The sequence below is a fragment of the Homo sapiens genome, chromosome 11 (assembly GCF_000001405.40).
Source record: "Homo sapiens chromosome 11, GRCh38.p14 Primary Assembly".
Taxonomy (NCBI): Eukaryota; Metazoa; Chordata; class Mammalia; order Primates; family Hominidae; genus Homo; species Homo sapiens.
This window is the reverse complement of record NC_000011.10, coordinates 99,935,899-99,959,725: the sequence shown is the minus strand read 5'-3', so window position 1 is coordinate 99,959,725 and position 23,827 is coordinate 99,935,899. Positions and strand designations below refer to the sequence as shown.

Below are 23,827 nucleotides of genomic sequence, written 5' to 3'. Positions count from 1 at the left end.
GCTTTATTGAGCCTTTTATATAGTACTTCTCAAATAATGACTTTTTGAAAATATAGACGTTTGTAAAAGAAAAAAGTGTCAACAACGTCAACTGCTACAGTCAGTTCAATTAACATAATGACCAAAACAGTATTAGTTTAGTGACCTAGAATTCTGTTATATAAGAAGCAATGACTTATAGTGTAATTTTCTGAAAGGCTGGAGGGAATGATTCTCAATAGTACAGGATGGAGGAATTGGTTGTAACAGGAGGATGGACAGTATACTATCTCTATTGAAATAGGATGGGAGATAACAATGCAGATGGAGATGCAGTTAAGATTTAAATTTTATTAGTAGGAAGATGATTTGATAAGGTACACAGTTTTTGTGAAGTGGTGGTCGTGAGGCAATCCAGTCTAAGGAAAGCACAGAAGTTTCCAAAAATTTAGGGGAGAGTAGCAAATTAAGCTGTCCACAGAAACTTGGGATTGAATGGCAATGTTGAGAGCCCACTTGAAATTGATGATCATGAACCCCTGGTGGGTGTAAACATTTCAGGTAGCTTTCAGAATCTCAAGGCAGTCACAGGGTAAGAGTATAATTGAGTTCACTGGAGTTGGGGTTTTGCCAAACAAGGGCAACAGAAGACACAGAGGCAAAGGGATTTAAATATCAGCGAATGATTATTCATGAAATGTGTGCCCATGGAAGGTAGAACGTAAAGATAAGTGATATATCTGGGCCATGAACCAAAAGTGCAAAACACTCTTGCACATGGACACTGTCTTACACATGTGCTACTCTCCCTTGTGATCGGCAATGTGTAGAAAGAGGTCTCTGGTGTGAAAAGAAGGTGGAAGAGCCTCCTCAACCTCAGGCACTATTCAAATATAAAGTATTATTATACAGATGGATAGTGAAAATGGAATTAATTGTTAGCCAAAAAAGTTATAATTTTCAGATAAGAATGCAATAACGTCTTAAGAAATCAGGGAGAAAGGGGCTCAGAAGTTTTGGAGAAATAGCTTATAGAGAATTAATTCAAAGCTTTTAATTAGATAAACTGTAAAACTGCATTTCTTTATTTTCCATCTATAGACACTCTTACACAATCTTGAAGTTGGCATAATATATACACATTATTCTATGGTGATGTAATACACAATGATGACTTTTAAATCTCTTTCAGTAGCCCAGCTCTCTCTTATGGGTATTAGGAATATGTATCTGATTACCTATTCCCAATTTTCACATGGATTTCCCATGTACCCTGTATCTCATATTCAAAACTGAATTCCTCATTTTTAACTACTTCTCTACTTCTTCAGCTGTGTTCTTTTCTGATGAGGAGAATCATCGCCCATTCAATGAACTCTGCTAAAGCCTTGAAATATTTGTGTATGCTAGCCTCCACCTACTCCAAAGCCTGTAATTCATTAATTATCAAATGCTGGTAATCCTACCTTCTTAATATCCCAGTTAATGTTTCCTGTCCTCCAGTGCTACCATCACTGCTTTTGTTCAGTCATTTATCGCCTCTTGGCGGATTAGTTTTTGTAGCCCCTGAATTGGTTTCCAAGTCAGCATTCTTTTTTCTACTGGTTTCTCCATGCCGTTACCTAACTGTGAGGCCTTTAGCAATTTTCATCATTTCTTTAATACTGGCTTTCTTCTCTTTAAAATGAATATTACATTTTTACCCTTTACCTGATGGTGTTGTTACTATTATATATATTTTATATAATACTGTGTATCTCTATCTATATATGTATATATAATACATACTTCACAGTTTATGAAGTTTCATAGACTTGTTTACATAAATACACATATTTAAATGTTTATATATATACATATAAACATATATACACACACACACACACACGCAAACAACAAAGTCTATATAAACTAAGTAGTAAGCAAAAATCTTGTGATATAGCTCTGGTCATACATTCCAGCAGCATATATTCTAAAACCAAGCATATGAAAAAACAGCACTTAAATAGATTATTTTTTAAGTTTCACAATCAACCAGGATTCTCATGCTTCTTAATAACGCCTTCATAGATTTTTTGCTGCATGACAGAGCAAACTACACATCATATATCAATGGTAATATAGCACTTGAATTCTTTAATGCAATGCTTAACTGTACATGTCTATAAATACAAATGAGGTGTTTAAATTTGAAGATACTTTGGATAGATGGCAATACTATAATTATAGAATCATCACTTCTGCCTGATTTGCACCTAAAAGTTACAGTTCCAACTGCTCCTATTATTGGAAAAGTAATAATCACAATTATAACTATACCATGAAGTATTAAAACCTGAGCATTCAATTTGAAGGCAGCTAAAATAAAAATGTAATGAAAAGTGAACCCATAAAATGCTTGCAATTCATACACATATGTTATATAGAGGCACTGAAGAGCAAAGGAAAGAACTGTGGAGTATTTATTATGGTTCTTTTTATCAGATTCTTTCTCCCTTTCTGGCATTAGAGTAGCATTATGGTGAATATTTCTCAACCATGGATCATCAATTTCTTATGTCTAAACTTTTATTCTAAGGCATGCAAAATCCTGGCCTAAAAATGTAGTGTCTAAATATGGCAAATGCCTTTTTATTTTATTTGTAAGTTCCAGGTCTTAAAAAAAAAACACACACTAATACATCTTTATTTTCCAAATTAGAGTTGGCTGACCATTTTAACGGGCCAAGCAACTTACCATCATTACGCAGAGTGAGTGGCGTTGGAGGACTAAGGACTCTAGCATTCGTCACTGTGTTTTTCACCAGACAAATATAGCTGCCAACATCTGATGTTTGGACTTTAGAAATATAAAGGTTGCCTGTCTCCTGGGAGATGAACCGCCGGCTGTCTTCCGCCACAAAGGAAGGGAACTCATTAAATACCCAGCTATAGATGATCTCTGAAAATACACAAAATTTGGTCAACGAAAGACTTTGATTTTTTCATTAACAGACAAAGCTCAAACAACAAAGCCTTTAGAAAGCATTAGATATATTGCAAGGTCATACATATTTGATCCATGTATCTATATAATTTAGTATTTTATATTCAAAGGATTATTGTTAATGACTACGGTGAGATCTGAAATATTTCTTACGATGTCTGACCTTGACTCGTTTATTTATTCTTTCAATTCCAATGTGTACTGAACATGTTTTAGGTACTCAGAACTATGATAACACTGAAAATAGAAAGGTAAGAGACAATTTTCCATTCTCAAAGATCAATTTAATGAAGAAAATTTACCCAAACCTATGAAACAATGTAGAATAAGAAGATACAGATATAGACCTTATTGTAAAGAAGGTGTGAGACAGGGACACTTAAGCAATTAAACTTATCAAAGAAAGGCAAACTACATGTCTTCTGTCCAAATGTTCTCTACACACATCCCATTTTGTAACTTAGTTTAACTTCTAAATTAAGTTTAAGTTCATTGGGACTTTCAGAGACAGTATGATGGTTTAAACTGAGCCAGTATTTAACTAACTTTTTGAGGTTCATTTTTAAAATTCATATAATTAGAATATTACGTACTTCATAAGCTTCCACCAAGACAACGTACCTAAGAACTTAATGAATAATATGCATTCATAAAATATGAAAAGTAACATTTCTGTTATCATCCCAGCCTAACTAAACATTATTATGTTAGGAGCTCCTTCTACCTGCACCATTTAAATATAAGAAAAACAGTAAAGAGGATATAAAACAAGTCTGAAGGAATAATGGATACTTAAATATTTTCAGGTCTGTTTTCCACAGAAAAATTTCAATGACGAGTTGAACATTGATTCTAAGCAAGATTTCGCTAATATTTATTATTAAAATAAATGATATAGGCTGCACACGGGGGCTAACGCCCGTACTCCTGGCACTTTAGGAGGCCGAGGCGGGCGGATCATGAGGTTAGGAGATCGAGACTATCCTGGCTAACATGGTGAAACCCCGTCTCTACTAAAAATTAAAAAAAAAAAAATTAGCCGGGCCTGGTGGTGGGCACCAGTAGTCCTAGCTACTTGGGAGGCTGAGGCAGGAGAATGGCTTGAACTGAGAGGCGGAGCTTGCAGTGAGCCGAGGTCATGCCGCTGCACTCCAGCCTGGGCAACAGAGCAAGACTCTGTCTCAAAAAAAAAGGGGAAATTACATATTTAGCAGAAGCCTGAGAATTTTGAAATGTTGTATTGCATTAATGCATAATTACAATATACAGATACAAAATCCAAAACTTTCAAATATTTTAACAATTGTTTTATAAAGAAAAGTGTTTTTTACTGTTACCATCACCCAGTTGACAGCCTTCAGTACATTTAATATTTTATTAATAATTTATTTAAAATATCCACATGACTTTACTCAAAGGAATGAAGGAACTCCATAAAGTATAATTGAAATACTTCAACTTGTTCTTATACAGCTCAAGTAGACTCTAAATTCAAGGCTTTCTCACATTTAACAATGTGAATCCCTTTAATTGCTATAATGGAAGTGTTACTTGTCATTCACACATAATTCATATATTTTTTAATATATATTTATTTTAGATAATTTACTAAAATCAAATTTTTTTATTATTTTACTAAAATCTAATATAAAATAAGGGTTTTCTTAGCTTTTGGTTTATATTAAAGTTACAGAGAAAAGAAAGCAACTAACAATTACAGGACATCATTCATTAAATTTAAAAATACTGTTTCTGTTACACAGATGATATTTGTTGAGTTAATGTTTTGTATTTTTAGAATAGGAGAAAAACATTTACACAAAATTGGTATTTTCTCAGATATTACACATGGGTAAGTATTTGGGGACTCAAAAATGCTTATTTAGTTCTTCAAGTAAGTTTTCAGTTTCATGTAGTGAAGCATTTCATAATTCCAAGAAGTATAAAAAGTAGAAATAGTACGCAATAGAAGAGCTGACAACCTGAGTTTGCAGTGGATTTTCTGCCAGTGCCAAAAATGAAAATATTGGACTGAGCTAAACATCTTTTAATATTCCTGTTTACTTCCTCCTATAAGGTTTTCAATTATCTATTCACATTTATTTAATATTGCCTTCAAAGTAATCATAAAAAAACTATAAATCTATAATTATTTTTAGTATTACATTGTAACCTGAGAACTATAAAATATTTCAGGGAAATAGTATGGTTAGCTGTGGTGCCACAGCCTTTAGCTTCATACACCACTTTCTTCCATACAAACTGCACCTGGCCCTTAAAAATAATTGAATGCATGCCGATCTTATTCGGTGGTAAACATTTAGTAGTAGTAGCATTCATTTCAGAAGATATTGAGATTAGTTGGTCAACTATGATTTTCCCACTTTTTAAGGTTTTTTTTTAACAGTATGGTTATCTAAAGCAACTAAAATGTTTTAGAAGTTCTTGGTCTGATTCTTCAGTGAGTAGTCCCTATTTCAGCAGACAATGACCACTTTGAGATATACTGTGCATCTACGTTATGAAAGTCTTCCTCGAGAATGCTTTTGCATGAACCCTACTTAGGATCAATTTTTTTCCCCATTTTTCTATGTAGTTTACTTTCTTTTTTTATTATTATCCTTTAAGTTCTGGGATAAATGTGCAGAACATGCAGGTTTGTTACACAGGTATACAAAATGGTGTTGGGAAAACCGGCTAGCCAAATGCAGAAAGCTGAACCTGGACCCCTTGCTTACACCTTATGAAAAATTAACTCAAGATGGATTAAAGACTTAAACATAAGACCTAAAGCCATAAAAACCCTAGAAGAAAATCTAGGCAATATCATCCAGGACATAGGCACGGGAAAAGAAGTCATGACTAAAACACCAAAAGCAATTGCAACAAAAGGATCAATGTTTATGTTAAATTTCAATCGCATATTTTTGATACTATGTGGTAATACGCATTTGGGCCACAAATACATGTGCTGCATAGGCTTTTGGTTTCTCATTGGGGAATTTTTGTCTTCTACTCTGAACCAGCAGGTCATTCCATCTGGAGTCTGACTTGGGCAGACACTGCTATTCAACTTCCATTCTTAGGCAGGCCCAAGGACTTGTCCTTTGCCCTTGGCATGATCATTCATCCTCTAGGTTTTAGACTTTAGGGTCTACTTCTGTAACATATAAAAAATGTACCTTGCTTCCAAGATCTCCTCAGGGTTAACACCAGAGAGTATACTTTGGATTTTAGTTCTTATTTGTTTCTGATACTTCGGGATTTCCTTTTCTTTCTTGTGAGATCAGCTACATATTGGAATTTTCGCTGCTTTATTTCAGTCATCATTTCTAAATTTTGGTAGTGAGAACATTTCCAGGTTAGCTGTCTCCTGCCCTAATTGAATGTCCAGATTTTAGGGATTCAAATATTGCAGACTTTCTATGCAATTGCTGCAACTGATTCAGTGTCAATAAACAGAAGATCTTCTCTTTGCTCCCCTAAAAAGATGATTATTTAAGTGACGCATTTCCACATCTACAGAGTATACAAAAACAGGAGTACACATGTGGACAATGATGCTCATTTCTCTTAACTGCAGTGCCATTAACAAAAAAAAAGTGTGAGAATGGGGAATGAAACTGCATACTGGACTCTCTGAAGTCTTTGAAAACAAGTTCAATGAGTAATCACAGTGATTCAACATTCTTTAATATAACTACATGTTGGGAAATAACCATTCTTCTTTCTAATAGTGTGTGTACACATCAGAGGCTTTGGGTCAAAGAATTTGGAGAGAACACAATGGATATAGCATCTGAGTTGTTGAATGACTCAATTAATAACGAAACTGTCCCAGGGAGCCTATTTTCTTTATCCCTGTAAGTACAGAAAGAAAAACTTAAAAATCAGAAGCTTCTCTATTTTTATAAAATGCTCAACTTTATGGTAAGATTCTCAGTTAACAGGCCTTATTTACCAAAATCCCTATTTTTTTGTTATTTCTGTAATATGAGATTTAATGTTTCATTTGCCAAAAATCATATTTATAATTTGTTCTTTATTATGAAAATATAACTTTTGTCCAGGCACAGCAGCCCAAGCCTGTAATCCCCGCACTTTGGGAGGCTGAGGTGAGAGGGTAGCTTGAGGCCAGGAGTTCAAAGTTGCCATAAGCTGTGACTGTGCCACTGCGCTCCAGCCTGGATGATAGAGTTAGACCCCAAATCAAAAAAATAAAAAATAAATAACTTTTAGTTTGTTTTTTAAATAGTTCAAGTTTTGCATTTATTTATTTTCTATATGCTTGTATTAATTTTTACTGATGCTGCTTAGGAGAGTATATGTCAGGAGCATTTTAATATTTACAAATTGTCTTTTAATCACATTTATTTTCATAATTCCATCATCCATTATGACTCATCTCCTCTCTTTCATGATGACTTAATTGAAGTGAAGACACTTAAATAGGATAACTTAGTAAGTTCCTGGAGAAAAATAGGGTTTTAAAAATTTTCACTACAATTATTTTCTTTTTTGAAAGTTTGTACCCAATCCTACCACTTTGGATCTCTGAATTAGTGACATTATGATAGAAATTGTAGAGAATTGTCCGCTTAATTATTCATTACTACTGAGCATGAGGGACAACCTGAAATTGGTGGGAAATATATTTTACAATGCTGATGTGTACCTTGATTGAAACAGAAAAAGTCACTATTAGCCATGTCAATTACTCTCCGAAGAGCAGAGATTGAATCTACCTTCTTCACCATCATACCTTTAAAACTCAACAAGATACTTGGTGTGTAGTTGCTCCATAAATATTTGGTGAATAAATGCATATTTGAGATAGAAATGTATCTATAATCTATTTATACAAACCTCCCTAAATTTTAAGAACAAGAGTGGATTTATTTTCACATATTAAACTTCATTACAAATTTTCTAAGATCAAAATTGGCTTGTTCTGGCTTTGAGAATATGAGTCAGAGAGGATGCTTGTTGTTGGGCTAAATAGAGACACTGAGTCTCTATTTATTATAGTAATATAGACAGTTTTAACAATCTGGAATGTACTGTGAATGAGCAAAAGAGAAAAAGATCATTTTTACAAAGGTACTATCAAATAACTTCATGATTTATTCTACTAGGTAAGTTAGATGAAATATTAGAGATAAGGGATATTAAATTTTAGGTAGTCCAATCCCTATCAGAGGTTAATAGCCTCATGGATGACCAATTATTTGCCTCTGCTTGAGCATGCTTATTAATATTCTGTTGAAGAAGCTGATTGGCAGCTCAAGTTATTTAATGGATCATATAGAAAAATCATTTTGGCTCCTAGATTTGGGGTGGGAACTGAGATCAAGGCAACTGGGATATCAACAAGTAGTAGTGAAATATGCAAAGCACAGTTGAGGATATTATGAAAATATCAGATAGAGCTGGGAAAAAATTAGCATAAGAGTTTACCGTGAGTCACATACTTTTCATGTTTTTTTTTTTTTACCTAGTTCTTCCCTTGGTCTGTGCGCCCCACTTTCCCTATTACACACAGACACATTAGAAATTAGCATTTTGAGTAAGACCATGGACTTCAAAATCACAGAGACCAGGCATTCAAAGATGGCTGCATGACCTACTAACTACATGACCTTTAGGAAAGCTATTTAATTTTGCTCAAGCATTAATCTTCTCATCTGTAAACTAAAACTGATGGAAGAAAGGGAAGGTTAAATGCAATATTTCATGTAAAATTAGTTCTACAGAAATATAGTTATTATTATTTTAATCATCTTCAACATCAAAGGTCTGAGGCTCAAATAGGTGAAAGAACCAGTGGAAAATTACAGCTGATTAGAGTCAGAGGGAAAATTAAAACTTCTCTTCTCACTCTAAGCCTATATTTTATCATTATATTAATCTTCTTTCATTATTGTAATTTAATTTTCCTAAACTTTAGTTTCACTATCCATAAAATGGGACAATAATGTCTACGTGGTAGTAATGCTGAGAATTACACAAGCCACTTAAATGAGTGTTCAACATGAAGAAACTGCTCAATAGGGGAGCTATTGGCTCAGGATAAACTATCTAGCATAAAGCACAATTTTGTAGAATATAAATTCATCTTGTACCTCGTACAATTGGATTTAATTTCCAAGTGTCAAAAGTTTCATCTATAAAAACACAACCAGAGACGAAGATCCTGAAAGTTACAATAGAATAAAGCTGTCTGACTCTTGGTTAGTACCAAGAGAAAGAATCAAGATTTTTTACTTTATTTTTTTTACTTGAGACGGAGTCTCGCTCTGTCACCCAGGCTGGAGTGCAGTAGCACAATCTTGGCTCATTGCAAGCTCCGCCTACCAGGTTCACGCCATTCTCCTGCCTCAGCCTCCTGAGTAGCTGGGACTACAGGCGCCCACCACCACACCTGGCTAATTTTTTTTTGTATTTTTAGTAGAGATGGGGTTTCACTGTGTTAGCCAGGATGGTCTCGATCTCCTGACCTCGTGATCCACCCGCCTCGGCCTTCCAAAATGCTGGGATTACAGGCGTGAGCCACTGTGCCCAGCCTCAGAATCAAGATATTTTTAAAGATGTTGTGAAGAATGCAAAAGAGAATACTTGTCATATGTTTGAAAAATGAAATTACTTTAAAACAAAGTAGGCTGTATTATTACATTAAATTTTAGTTATCTTGGTTGAACAAAACAAAGTAATAATTTTCTCTTTTTTATGCTTTGGAGACAAGTATTTTCATTATGTTTGTTACCTAAAGTCAAAAGAAGCAGAGTTCTTCATAATTATGTCACCAAGACAGGAAAATATTTTATGCACATTTAATTCAAAACACCTTTAGAAAAACATAAGATAAATAAAATAATATGTATAATAAGAACAGTACTAAACTGGCGTCATCTCATGATCCACAACTTAAGCAGGTCTGAGCTAGTGAATTCCAAGTTCTAGAGTTCAAGTGATTATACCAACTGGGTGACAGCAACTATTTTTCTTTTCTCTGTGGAATACTTCACAGTGTGGAGGACATTTTTATCCCAGGAGCCCTGTGTCTAGATATAAAGGTCATTGCTAACCCTTTTCAAAAGGCGGCCTAAATTTCTTGCTTTGCTAAGGGGTTTTTAATTTACGTTGTATTGAATTGTAAGCTCTTAGCAGGTCTAGGGCCAGTGTTTACTCAACAGTGTGCAAGAGTCAGCGGAACGATCTCAACCTAGGTTCCAAACTTTGCATTAAAAAGCATTCACTCCAGGTTTCCCATAATTCACTGATAAAGCCCCCAAATCCCTGCCTTAACCAACAACAGTCTATTTGTGCCCCAGAATCTTGCCAGGGACTATGACCTTAATGTGCTTATCAAATTTGTGAAAATGTTAGCTTAAAAAAAGATATATATGGAGAACTACTGAAAGGCTGTGGAGTCGTTCCATGGACTCCGTTCAACTTTGGACATGACAAAGGTAATCTCAGCATTTACCCTTCATTAAATCAAGACACCAGTGGGCATAACGACAACAACAAGAGTAGATACTTATTGTCTTTCATTGGGTTTATAGAAATAGAGTCAGTGAAGAGGACTCTCAGATATGATTTGACAACATTTTTCCAGGAGGAAAAACTAAGAGAAGCGAGGTAAGATGAGGGAGAAAAAAATAAAGCTAACCAGGGATGTGGTCCCTGTTGGAGATTAGCTTAAGATTGATCCCACTTGGGGTTCTCAAACACAACTTTCACTGCAGCACTGGTAAGTGAGGCAAAAGAAGGCAAAGAGTATCAGCAAAGGCTATTTGCACCCTCTCCCCTGTATCCATAAGTTATTAGCTGCTGGCTGGGGCAGGTGGAATGCAATGAGGGCAGGAAGCACGATTTTCCAGGTGTGGCAAATTTTCTGGAGAAGAGGAAGCAGCCAATCTTCATAGCAGCTGCTGGATGTGCGCACGCATCGGGTGAAGGTCTGGATGGAGCACCAATACAATCTAGTAAATGTGTACCACACTTAGAATGTGCCAGGCAGTGTGCTCTATGTATATTAATTCATTTAATTCTCATAGGAATAGGTAACCTTATTTTACAAATGGGAAAACTAAGACATAGAGTTGCCAATAACTTAAGAATTATTACAAAGCATCGATCTTTATTTGAAAAGAGAAAAGGAAACCTGGTGAATAGTGGTTTCAAATGTTTACTAGATTGAGGTTTATATGCATGGGATGTAATTTTGCAAATAAAAGTTAGATGTTTGAAATAGTGACTAATTAGAGCGGTGTCTAGATTTCACTCACCAGACCAGAACAAAAGCAGGCTGGTGATTATTTCTATTAACCATTAAGTCACACTGTAATTAAACCATGGTCACAATGCCATGCAAGTCTTAACCATATCAAACAGTAAGGATGTGGCCTGCTGGGTAGAGACCTACTATAAAATACCAGCACGGGGACCTGAAATACAGATGTTCATAAATGTAAAAGCTTCATTATTGCACAGTTACAAACAAGGATACTATTCCTCATCTCCACTTACATTAAGATTTACAGAGTTGTCCAAATATTTTACCATGAAAAGTCGCACAGATAATAATTTTTAAATTAGCCTGTATTTTCTGAAATCAATGGCAGTCCACAAGATGACAGTGTTTGATGCGTAGAAAGGTTTAATCTTGGACAGTATTCCAAATGAAGGAAAATTAAGACCTCGGTTAGCAAAATAAAGTTTTCTTATATTCCTGTGTTTTACTTAGTAAAATATTACCTTTTATCCAAAGGATAATTGTCATTTATACATAACACGAATAATTAAATTTTAACTTAGCTCTATGAATTAAAAGCAAAAGAAAATTCATAAGGCAGGTATTTAAAACACTCAACATTTTTTCACTATGAATTTTTAAAAATGCTTAACTTCTTTTAATTTCATGTTATGCAGATTTTATGGTGAAAATTTGAAGATTTATTGCAGTCTGAATACTAACAGAAACAAATAAGTGTTTTATAAATTGTCCCCCTTATAGGTAGGTGAGTCACAGAGGACAAAACCCTCTAGAGTTGTGAACTGCCTAAATTTTCTATGTTAAATGTGGAACTTGAGTTGCTTTTGGGCTTCATTTATCACATAGGTGCAGCAGAGAATCTTCAGGCAAGATAAATTATTATAACGAGATTGTCTGCCCCTCAACTTATTCTTATATTCAATGTAATTTTTCAAAAATGTTTTTTGTGCTTTTATGGCTTAACTAATGCTCATTAATCCTTCATGCAAATCTTTAATGAAGGTAATTTATTTGTCACGTTGCCATGCACCATGAAGAAATAGTGGATACTGTCTATTTATCAACAGGCACTGAAATGGTTTATTTTCTACATCAAGAATTTGTCCCTATTGCTCACCTGTTTAAAAAAAAAAAAAACCTAATCATAAAACACATATTTATCTCTGTTGATATGTAATCACTGTAATAAATCTTAAATTACTATTAATTCATATGCACATAACATGAAAGTTTTGGCTGGGGTTTTTTTTAGTTGAGTTCTTTTTCAAAAGTAGAAAAATTGGTACAAGTTATGCTAGTAATATAAATAGTACAAAAACTATTAAGAATGCATTTTCTTTCTTATTCTACAAGGGGTTTCTCTGTAAAATCACATAGTTTTTAATTTTTATAATCATGTTTATATTTTTTCTAATTTTGTTTATATCATAATCACATTTATAATGTAAAACATACTCATTTTCATAATCATGTAGAATCATGCTTATATATTAATTTTTATAATTACGTTTATATCTACATTAATTTCATAATCTTGAAATTGATGTAGTTAATTTCATCAAATTATCATCAAAATATATTTGCAAAGTAGACATCATCATATCTTACTAGACAATTTTTTTTGCAAATGTATTTTGATATTTGCATAGCTGTAAAATAATAAGGTCTAGTACTAATAGGGGATTTAAACAATTAAAGAACACATAAAAAAGAAAGTATATCTTGGAAAAAATTGTCATATTTAAAGTAATTGAGTGGCCACTGTTTTGAACCTAACATTCATGTTCTATCAGAGATATATGTAATATACATACTATGGATACATGGATGAAAGGTTTTCATGGAATAATAAATTGTTGATTCTCCCTAAGTTATTTTTCCCCTTTCTCTTACTTTTTTGCCCAGTAGTTTTCTAGGATTTGGTGTTCTAAACTGGCTTTCCCTTGGTCAGTTCCCATACTGTCAGTCTTTATCAGTTTTTCTAATTCCAAGATACAGCAGAGATTGACTATTTAAAATCTAAACGTGTTCAGACTTCTTTGTTGAGTATCGATCACTCAGATGTGTTTTGTGTATTCTCCACAAGTGTGGGCTCTGTAATATATTTTTCCCACTAAGCCTCTGTTCCTAGTTTGTAGGTTAATTAATAATTCTGGTGATTGACTCGGTGATATTTTCCCAAATCTCAAGACTAGAAACTATTATAGCTTAAATAAAAATACTATAATTTTCTTGGAACCCAGGAGAGTTACACAATATTATAGTTGTGGAAATAGGAGAACTGTATATCTGTAGGGATTACTGAAAATTTCAAGAATACAAACCAGTTGTTAGGTGAATAAATTTATTCACAAAACACTGATTTAGGAGATGACCGTTAAAGATGAGATCGAGAGATACTGATTGGTGGGGATCACCCAAAGAAATTGTGACTGCACACAAACTGTTAAACTGGAAATCAAGAAAAATCTAGATACTTTATGTCAAACAACGAACAGGGTAAGAAAATAGATTTTTTTTTTCATGCTTGTACTTATGCCTTCTTTGTAGTGAAAAAATAAAAAGCTTAAACACTGGTGTTAGTAACACAATTTATATTATAGTAGAGTGACATGAAATGTGTATTAAGTGCCTAGATTCGTATTCCAGCTGAGACCTCTGGGGAAGAACTGAGACACAGGGGGCTCAACTCGATGAGCGTGTAAGGTAATGTGGCACCATAGAAAAAGATGCCTTTATACCAATGCAAAAACGTGCTTGAATATTTGCACCATCACCTAGCAGCTTTGCAGTCTTGAGCTTGTTTATAGGGCCTCTTCAGTTCTGTTTCTTCATCTATGAAATGATAATAACACTGAGCGGGTAGGATTTTGTGGGAAATTTCAGAAAAAAAAGTGTTAACATCATTATTTCAGGTATATAGTAAGTGCTCAAAATGTCATTATTATTGAAAATTCTAGCCTATACACACACACACACACACACACACACACGCACAGAGGTTTTATTTTTTGCTATGTTTACCTTCTATGCAGAATCATCCTAGCAGTCATTCTAAAAAAACTTCATAAAACATAGCCTCTTACCTAAAACTACATATATACATAAAAGAGGCATTTGACTTTGCAGGACAGTCATACACCCATATTCTATTCTTGTTCCAATTTACCATGCAAAAATTATCCATTATGCAGAACTAAAATATCTGTAAATTTTATAGTATATGTTGCTCTGCAGTATTCCAATCTCATATCAAATTGCAGTTTAGGAGTAGTTTTACTCTTTATACAGGTCACAGGCCTACTAACAGACCTTAAATGGCTCTCTGATATGGAACTCTGTCATGGAATTTAAAATCTATGATAGTCTGGTTTGCTGTCATACCTGTACCCATCTCTTTCTTAACCATCCGATACTATCACCCACTCTTCACTATCATCAATGCTTCATTTTACATTGGGCGATTCTCAAATCCATGTGTCTTTCATCATGTTATTTCCCTAGACTAGAATGCACTCCCACCTTCCTCTGCCCAGTTGCACACTTGGACACAATCCAAGTACAAGTACTACTGCCTCAAAGAAGGTTTTAAGAGTCACATTATTTCCATTTATTTGTGTCCTCTCTTATTCCCTTGAGCAGTAGTTTGTAGTTCTTGAAGAGGTCCCTTCATGTCCCTTGTAAGTTGTATTCCTAGGTATGTATTCTCTTTGTAGCAATTGTGAATGGGAGTTCACTCATGATTTGGCTCTCTGCTTGTCTATTATTGGTGTATAAGAATGCTTGCGATTTTTGCACATTGATTTTGTATCCTGAGACTTAGCTGAAGTTGTTTATCAGCTTAAGGAGTTTTTGGGCTGAGACAATGAGGTTTTCTAAATATACAATCATGTCATCTGCAAATAGAGACAATTTGACTTTCTCTCTTCCTATTTGAATACTCTTTATTTCTTTCTCTTGCCTGATTGCCCTGGCCAGAACTTCCAATACTACATTGAATAGAAGTGGTGAAAGAGGGCATCTTTGTCCTGTGCTGGTTTTCAAGGAGAATGCTTCCAGCTTTTGCCCATTCGGTATGATATTGGCTATAGGTTTGTCATAAATAGCTCTTATTATTTTGAGATACGTTCTTAACTATCTCCTTCAGTTCTGCTCTGATCTTAGTTATTTCTTGTCTCCTGCTAGCTTTTGAATTTGTTTGCTCTTGCTTCTCTAGTTCTTTTAATTGTGATGTTAGGGTGTTGATTTTAGATCTTTCCTGCTTTCTCATATGGGCATTTAGTGCTATAAATTTCCCTCTTAACACTGCTTTAGCTGTGTCCCAGAGATGAATATTATGAAAATGACCATACTGCCTGAAGTAATTCATAGACTGAATACTTTTCCCATCAAGCTATCATTGACTTTCTTCAAAGAGCTAGAAAAAAAAAAACTACTTTAAATTTTATATGGAACCAAAGAAGAGCCCCTATAGCCAAGACAATCCTAAGCAAAAACAACAAAGCTGGAGGCATAATGCTACCTGACTTCAAACTATGCTACAAGGCTACAGTAACCAAAACAGTATGGTAATGGTACCAAAACAGATATATAGACCAATGGAACAGAACAGAGGCCTCAGAAATAACACCACACATCTACAACCAGCTGATTTTTGACAAACCTGACGAAAACAAGCAATGGGGAAAGGATTCCCTGTTTAATAGATGATGGTGGGAAAACTGGGTAGCGATATGCAGAAAACAGAAACTGGACCCCTTCCTTACACCTTGTACATAAATTAACTCAAGATGGATTAAAGACTTAAACATAAAACCTTAAACCATAAAAACCCTAGAAGAAAACCTAGGCAATATCATTCAGGACATAGGCATGGGCAAAGACTTCATGACTGAAACATCAAAAGCAATGGCAACGAAAGCGAACACTGACAAATGGGATCTAATTAAACTAAAGAGCTGCTACACAGCAAAAGAAACTATCATCACAGTGAACAAGCAACATATAGAACGGGAGAAAATTTTTGCAATCTATCCATCTTGCAAAGGTCTAATATCCAGAATCTACAAGGAACTTAAACAAATTTACAAGAAAAAACACAACCCCATCAAAAAGTGGGCAAGGGATATGAACAAACACTTCTCAGAAGAAGACATTTATGCGGCCAACAAACATATGAAAAAAAGCCTATCATCACTGGTTATCAGACAAGGGCAAATCAAAACCACAATGAGACACCATCTCATGCCACTTAGAATGGCGATCATTAAAAAGTCAGGAAGCAACAGATGCTGACAAAGATGTGGAGAAATAGAAACGCTTTTAACCTACTGGAGGGAATGTAAATTAGTTCAACCATTGTGGAAGACAGTGTGATGATTCCTCAAGCATCTAGAACCAGATACTCAATTTGACCCAGCAATCCCATTACTGGATTTATAAATCATTCTACTATAAAGACACATGCACATGTATGTTTATTGGAGCACTGTTTACAATAGCAAAGACTTGGAACCAACCCAAATACTTATCAATGATAGACTGGATAAAGAAAATGTGGTACATATACACCACATATTCCATATGTGGTACATATGGAATACTATGCAGCCATAAAAAAGAATGAGTTCATGTCCTTTGTAGGGACATGGATGAAGCTGGAATTCATCATTCTCAGCATTCTAACACAGGAACAGAAAACCAAAAACCACATGTTCTCACTCCTAAGTGGGACTTGAACAATGAGAACACATGGACATAGGGAGGGGGACACCATACACCGGGGCCTGTCGGGGTTGTGGAGGAGAAGGGAAGGGAGAGCATTAGGACAAATATCTAATGCATGTGGGGCTTAAAACCTAGATTATGGGTTATAGGTGCAGCAAACCACCATGGCACATTACCTATGTAACAAACCTGCACATTCTGCACATGTATCCCAGAACTTAAAGATTTAAAAAGTCACATTAATTTACAATTCACCCTTCTTTTCTGAAATTTTGTAGATACATCATTAACTCGTGCACCAGTTTGCTTACAACACTGCCAATTTACACCAGTTTTCCCAGAAAGAATATTAATATTCCCCCTTTTCATTCTCAAAAATGATCCAGTTTGGATATTATTTATATATATTATATGGTCTCCCTACGCCCTTTCCATCATCCACACAACACATTCCTCTTGTAGTGGTCCTATGTTCTCCCATAGTTCTCTGGATGCATCATCTTCCCTACCAGATCACATACTCATCTAGAGCAGGAACTCTGTCATACACTTACTGTGCAAACGTGGCATACAGGTGAAAAATAAACTTATTTAAATTAATTTAATTTTAGAAATTTTGAAAAGAGTGTTATGTTACCAGTAAAGATAGTTGGAGCTATCTTGAGTTGCCCCAAATTGCTAATGGGTATTATTACTCTAATTTTCAAAAACAGTTTTCAACTCACTAGAGTATCCAGTAAGTAGTTTATGAAGCCCTTTCTGATGATGAATGCAGTGTTTGGTTATTTTAAGTTTAGTGAAATCAGGTGTTTTCTTTTCATCCTATTTCAACCCTTGGTAATAGACTAAATTTATAAGTTCTACTTATAAACTCTATTAGGACTGACATGATTTTGCCTGACTCTTTTTAACTACAACACTGTCTTTTATTTCTTCAATCCACCCTAGCCACACTGGCCCTGCTGTTAGTTTCCAACTTAGGACACGTGCAATAATTTTTACCTTAACCTCAAACACGCATTCCCCAGTTACCTGCATGGCTCATTACTTAACTTCTTTTAGGTCTCTGCTCAAATGACTCCCTGTGGGAGGTCTTTATGGATTTGCTGACCTTAACTAGAACTATCAATAATCAATCTAATCAATCTCTATCTATCTCTCTTTCTCTTTGTGTGTGTGTGTGTTTGTCTTATGTATTTACCTCTATTACTTATCTCTTGCGTGGCAGTAAGTGTTTTCTTAGGGAAGAAATCTTGACTATGTTTTATCTGCTTTGTCCATTACCATACCTCCTCAGTAGTGTAAAAAGTGGCTGGTACACAATAAATAATTTTTGAATGAATAAAAAATAAAATAAATGCAGACAGTAAAATGTTTCCCTACCATGTGCCATAAAATAATTATTTTAAAAACTATTATATTGGGTAAAGTTTACCTCTTTATAAGATGATAAATAAAATAATTAAAATGATTTGTCTGGAAGTTTTTCTAGAAACCCTGGGAATGCATGTATCCTAATATATAGGTAGATATGTTGAGATAAGGACATGAGACTTGAACCAATTCCAGTATTCTAGCTAAATTGTATAGGTCCCGTTAGATTGACATAAATAAAATTTATAGAGGCAACAATATGATTATTAATTGCTTTCACAAATGTTGGAAGTGGGAGAGAAAATTAATGAAACGTATAAAATTTTTAAATGAACTGGAAGACCTGTAAGCACATTTCTATGTCCCAATGTTTTTCCCTACCTTTTTCAAACTGATTCAGTTTAGGGTGAATATTTCTTAATACAAAACATGCCATCCTTGTTTTTTCATTAATTATTTTTCTATCAAGACTACCATTTTGAGATTTTGCTTCCTTGTACAGTTTTGCATTACTTTTAACTTAGCCTGAGTCTTTCCTTTAATTACAAGGAAATTCCATCAAAATGTATGCTTTAATCTATCTGCAGAAAAATACCATATTTTCCAGTGGTAGATCTTTGTGGTGGAATGGTAAGCACACATCATTGATTTTATGAACTCTCTAATGAAGTTCTCAGCTAAGACTGCCAAAATTTTAAAACACAACATAACTGTATTTTAAAGTGGACAAGAACTGTCTCATACACCAATACTTTCATCAATAATTTTATCAAGGAAGAGATGAAAATGCATATGTAGAAGGTGACTAAGGGGATACTAATAATGTTGATGTCGTTGTAATACTGTACCTAAATAAACACTTTATGATTAAATGATGTAGGAGTATCTTTATGAGAACACTAGGTACTAGCCTTTATGTGGCCATTTAAATGTTAATAACTTTGAAATACTATACTCCTCTTGGAAAGGCTCATGGTCTATGCCTTCTTTCCAGTTTTACTTTAGTTCATTAGTTTATTGTCTCTTTATTTCAAAGAGTCAGCAATCTCTACTAATACTAATATTTGGAGGATCTAAAAGCTAAAGAGCACAAATTACATAAATTTAATGTTGATGTAAAATATCATCTTAATGCATAACCTCCATATGATCTAGATCAAGTTTTCTCAATCTCAGCACCCTTGACATTGGGGGCTGATAATTCTTTGTCATGAGAGACTGTCCTCTGCATTGCAGATGTGTATTAGCGTCACTGACCTTCACCCACTAGATGCTGATAGCATCCTGCTGCTCCTCCCCCTGCTCCTATTAAAGAAATTAAAAATGCCTCTAGACATTTCCAAATGTATCCTGACGGTAAAATCATTCCTGGTTGAGAACTAATCCAGAAGTGAAATATTCTGGTTGCCAACCATTTGGGTTATTTGGTGATTATTTCATTTTAAAAATAGATAGATCAACAGATAAAAGCTAACTGCTTTGAGTTTTCATTTTATTTTTAAGAGCAGAACACAATACCTCCTTCATGATTTTACTTCCATAACACAAACATATAGAGGAGGTTCTCAGTACCGTTTCCTAAACTGAATTCAAATTAGGACTCAATCATATTCACAGCACAGAATGATAAGGGACTTATTTACCTTTGATCTAATGGGTCAAAATATAGCTTAATATTTTGGTAATGATTCAGATCATGTTTTGGTAGTGATTTGGGCCCTATTTTTTTCTATTAAATATCAAAATAATTAAAAAAATAAATATTTGGTTGACTATTGATACAGTGGCACATGGACACTATTAGATTGTCATTTTTCCTTCTTTTTATAAAATCTTACACATTGTAGAAAAAAGTTTGCATTAAAAGAGTTTTTCAGTTGTTTGATTCTGCATAAATAATTTACCTTGTAGAGATACAGACTTGCAAATAATGTGAAGAATTCTGAATCAATGCATTAAACTGACTTCTTTTTACTCAATCATTTTGAGGTTAATTTTATTTTTTCACGTTTTTAAAATAACAAAATATGTATTTCTAGAACTTATTTGGTTGCGCTAAAAAATGAAGCTAATATAAATTACTTCAAGATAATGGGAAAAACGCAAATTTATAGTAAACATAATAAAGGAGGAAGAAGCAATTTGCACGAGTATTTAAGGTACTTGTGATCTGAACTAAATAGAAAAGAAAGAAATCAATTTCTTACATTGTTAGAGAAATGTTCAGATTATTAAATCACCATTTTAAGGTATTTTGTTGACTTATGAGTTCATCTTTTTAAATTTTTTTTAGAATACAGAAATTAGAAACACCGGAGGGTTGATAAATCAGCTCAATAAAAGGTAGTCAGTCTACTGTGGGCAAACCTATACAAGTTTCAGTGTTTACAAAGAGTAATAAATTGTAAGACCTCATAATTTAGAATGAGTCAAATCATACAAATACTAATTCAGATATAAGGCAATTAGATTTTCTAAAGCAAATTTCCAGTTTAAAATTTTTCAAATCCTTCCTTTACCATTTATTATTTCTATCACCTAGACTATTTACTAAATGTTCCTCAGTCTTTGTTGCCCTATTTGAGAAGTAGAGATATATTTTTCTTATTATTTTGTAACTATTACATAGAAATGATTTAAGTAAAGTATGTAGATTGCGGCTTGGTGTCTAGCAAGCAAGCATTTACTAAATTGATTATGTTATTAGTTTAGAATATCTTTTAGATAAAGAAGATTTTTGAGACAGAACAATTCTATATATCAGGACAAAAATTTCAAGGTTATTCTAATTCAACTGGTATTGAATTAATACTCTATTTTCTCCCATTTACCATGGCTTAAAATAATTCAGAACTATTACCGGCTTCTTGTACTTCCCATTATGTGCCATGATTCCCTGGGTAGATAGATCTAAGAGCTGATTGCTCCAAGAATAAATCTGTCTCTCAAATATTACATAGTAACCGTTTTAGTACCTATGTATATAATAAGAACTTACTATGTGTCAGATATTTTGCTAAGCAGTCTCTATTATTTGCAATAATATTATTGTTTATCTTCATTTTATTCTATTGAAACGAAGGATTGATGAAATTATGTATTTTGTTTCCTGTACAAGACATGGGTATGGTTTATAACTAGAATCCTAGAATGTAATTAAAATAGTGAAGACTTTCCAAGCATAGGGAGTCACTTGTCCTATGAACCTACAGATTTGGAAGCTATAAGTATCACAGATCTCACCCTTTCCTCCATCAAATCCTTTAAAAATAAAATTCCTTTTGATTTATTTTGTTAGATCCATTCTTAGAATAGAGAATATATATTTTAAAAGCTTTAGAGCCTATTCGCATGATACAAACACTACTTCCAAAACAGAAAGCAGGATATGTATTTAATAAGAGGTTTTTGGAATGTTTTGTTTCTTTTGTTAAACACAGTAAAAGGTATAAAATGCAAAGTTGTATCTTCTATGCACAACAGGCTAAACTTCTACAGTTTACTGATGCCTGGTTCAGTTTCAAGATCAAGGCATTCTATCAGTTAAACCTCAGGCTGAAGCACTGTAACATTTAGGACTCTCGGTTTTCCACTGGAGAAGCAATGCTGCTACTAGAGTACTTTCCCATCTTCCTGGCCTGTTTGTCAAGCTTCGAGCTGCAGCTGCTTACAGGCTGAGAGAGAGTTCATGTCCTAAGTGAAAAGCAAAGTTCTCAAGTACATTTAAAGTGGCCCACAGTTTTCCCTTTTCTCCTTCCGTCTTTCTCTTATGTACAACATGGAGCCACTAAAATGGCACCCAGAGTGATCCTTGTTGACATAACCTGAACCGCAGCCTGAGCACACACATCTCCGAAGCACAGCCCTGTCACCGCTGGCCATTCTGCCTGCATTCAGACTGTGCTGATTGAGCGAGGTCAGCCAGTTTTCTCTCTCCAGACTTTCATTCTCCCTGAGGGGAAGAACGGTTCCAGTGAATGATCCACCATGTCTAACGGCACTCATTTTCGATGCTTGTTAGCTTCATGCCTTTTTGCAATGTGTAAGAACAGCATAAGAGAACGCATTTATATGGCTATCCTCCAGACCAGCTTTGCAGAGAGATCTCAGAACTGCAGCTCTTAGGTGCTGACTTTCGTCTCCCCATCATACATGGGCATATTCTAATTACAGTTACACCGCTTACTATATTTTATGCTCTAAAGAACTCTGCTTAACAACATGTTTTGTAAAAGGAATCCATTTGAAAAAGCTATCTTAACTAAATTAATTTAGAAAGATCATAGATCTAGCTCAAGATCCTGTTTTATTTTTTTTCTTTTTCCTTTAGTGTTTTTAGCAGGAGAATAAAATATGGAGACCTACCTTATATGTACTGTATTACATACACTTAATCATCCCTGTGCGTCTCATGTGGTAAGAACTCCATCGATATCATGGTTGTTTCCTTGCTAATGAAATGTACATTTCTATAACATATCCCTGCCTTGCCTGTGGTTAATATTTAAGAGGAACCTTACATTTAACTCTTATAACATATCCCTGCCTTGCCTGTTGTTAATATTTAAGGAGAACCCTACATTTAACACAAAAGACTTCCATCTCAACCAGGAATGTTTTGTTTATAAATATGATGAGACAACAATGACAGTAGTGCTTCAGATTTCACTTTCATCATTTTCTTAGTCACATCTGGCTGCTTGATCTGCAGGACTATTACTCCCCATATGCCCTGATCCTCTCTGGGATGTCAACCTTGCAGCAAGCTAGAGAGAAATAAGCCTATACTATTTGATATTGTTTGGACTTTTTAATAAGGTTTACATACAACTCTTCCACTGTTATAGGATAGTCTGGATTTCTTCTCATCTTGTTCAAAAAAAAGACTACTTGTTGCTAAGCACGTAGCAGGCAGTGTCCTTTTGAAAATAAGGATAAGAAAAAAGATAAGGCCCTTTGTGTAACAGAATTAATTGGATAATATTCACCCAGTTCCTATTATAGTCTGAAGGAAAGAAAGAGAAAATTGTATAGTTTTAGAACTTTACTAAACGCAAACAACAGAAAGAAAACTTACTGGACATTTGCTTAGGCAACATGCTTGTTATATTTTAAGTGAATAAGCCAGTGAACAGGTGGATGCTTATGTCTGCAACCCCTGCTATTTAGTATCTTTAGGTAAAAAATTTTTTTAATAACCCCTGCAAATGTTTTCAGCAGTGGGTAAAAATAATGACTGTGCCTTATAAACATTGAAGAGAGACTAGAGCTGTGCTCTTGGAGCCCTTCTGCTTTGCAAAGTGTCTTTCTTGAAATAGATTTGATGGAAGGGATAGGATTCATTATTCCTGGTGGAAATACAACGTAAAAGTAGACAGGAAGAATCAAAACATACGTGAGAGAATGGCAATGAATGCCCTCTATAAAACTAAAAGTGAACTGAATTCCAGCATGGTAGGATAAAAGAAAGGCTAGGAAATATA

The 23,827-nt window shown here is 34.4% G+C and overlaps 1 protein-coding gene across 12 annotated transcripts in view; it reads right to left on the bottom strand.

Annotated features, from left to right (window-relative positions):
- The window catches only part of CNTN5 (contactin 5), a 1,337,937-nt gene that overhangs the window by 399,160 nt on the left and 914,950 nt on the right, over window positions 1-23,827 (bottom strand). For all 12 annotated transcript variants that reach the window (XM_017017926.2, NM_014361.4, XM_011542871.2 and 9 more), the window contains one exon: window positions 2,717-2,920. In XM_017017926.2, coding sequence (XP_016873415.1) covers window positions 2,717-2,920 — 204 coding nt within the window. The remainder of the gene's footprint in view (window positions 1-2,716; window positions 2,921-23,827) is intronic.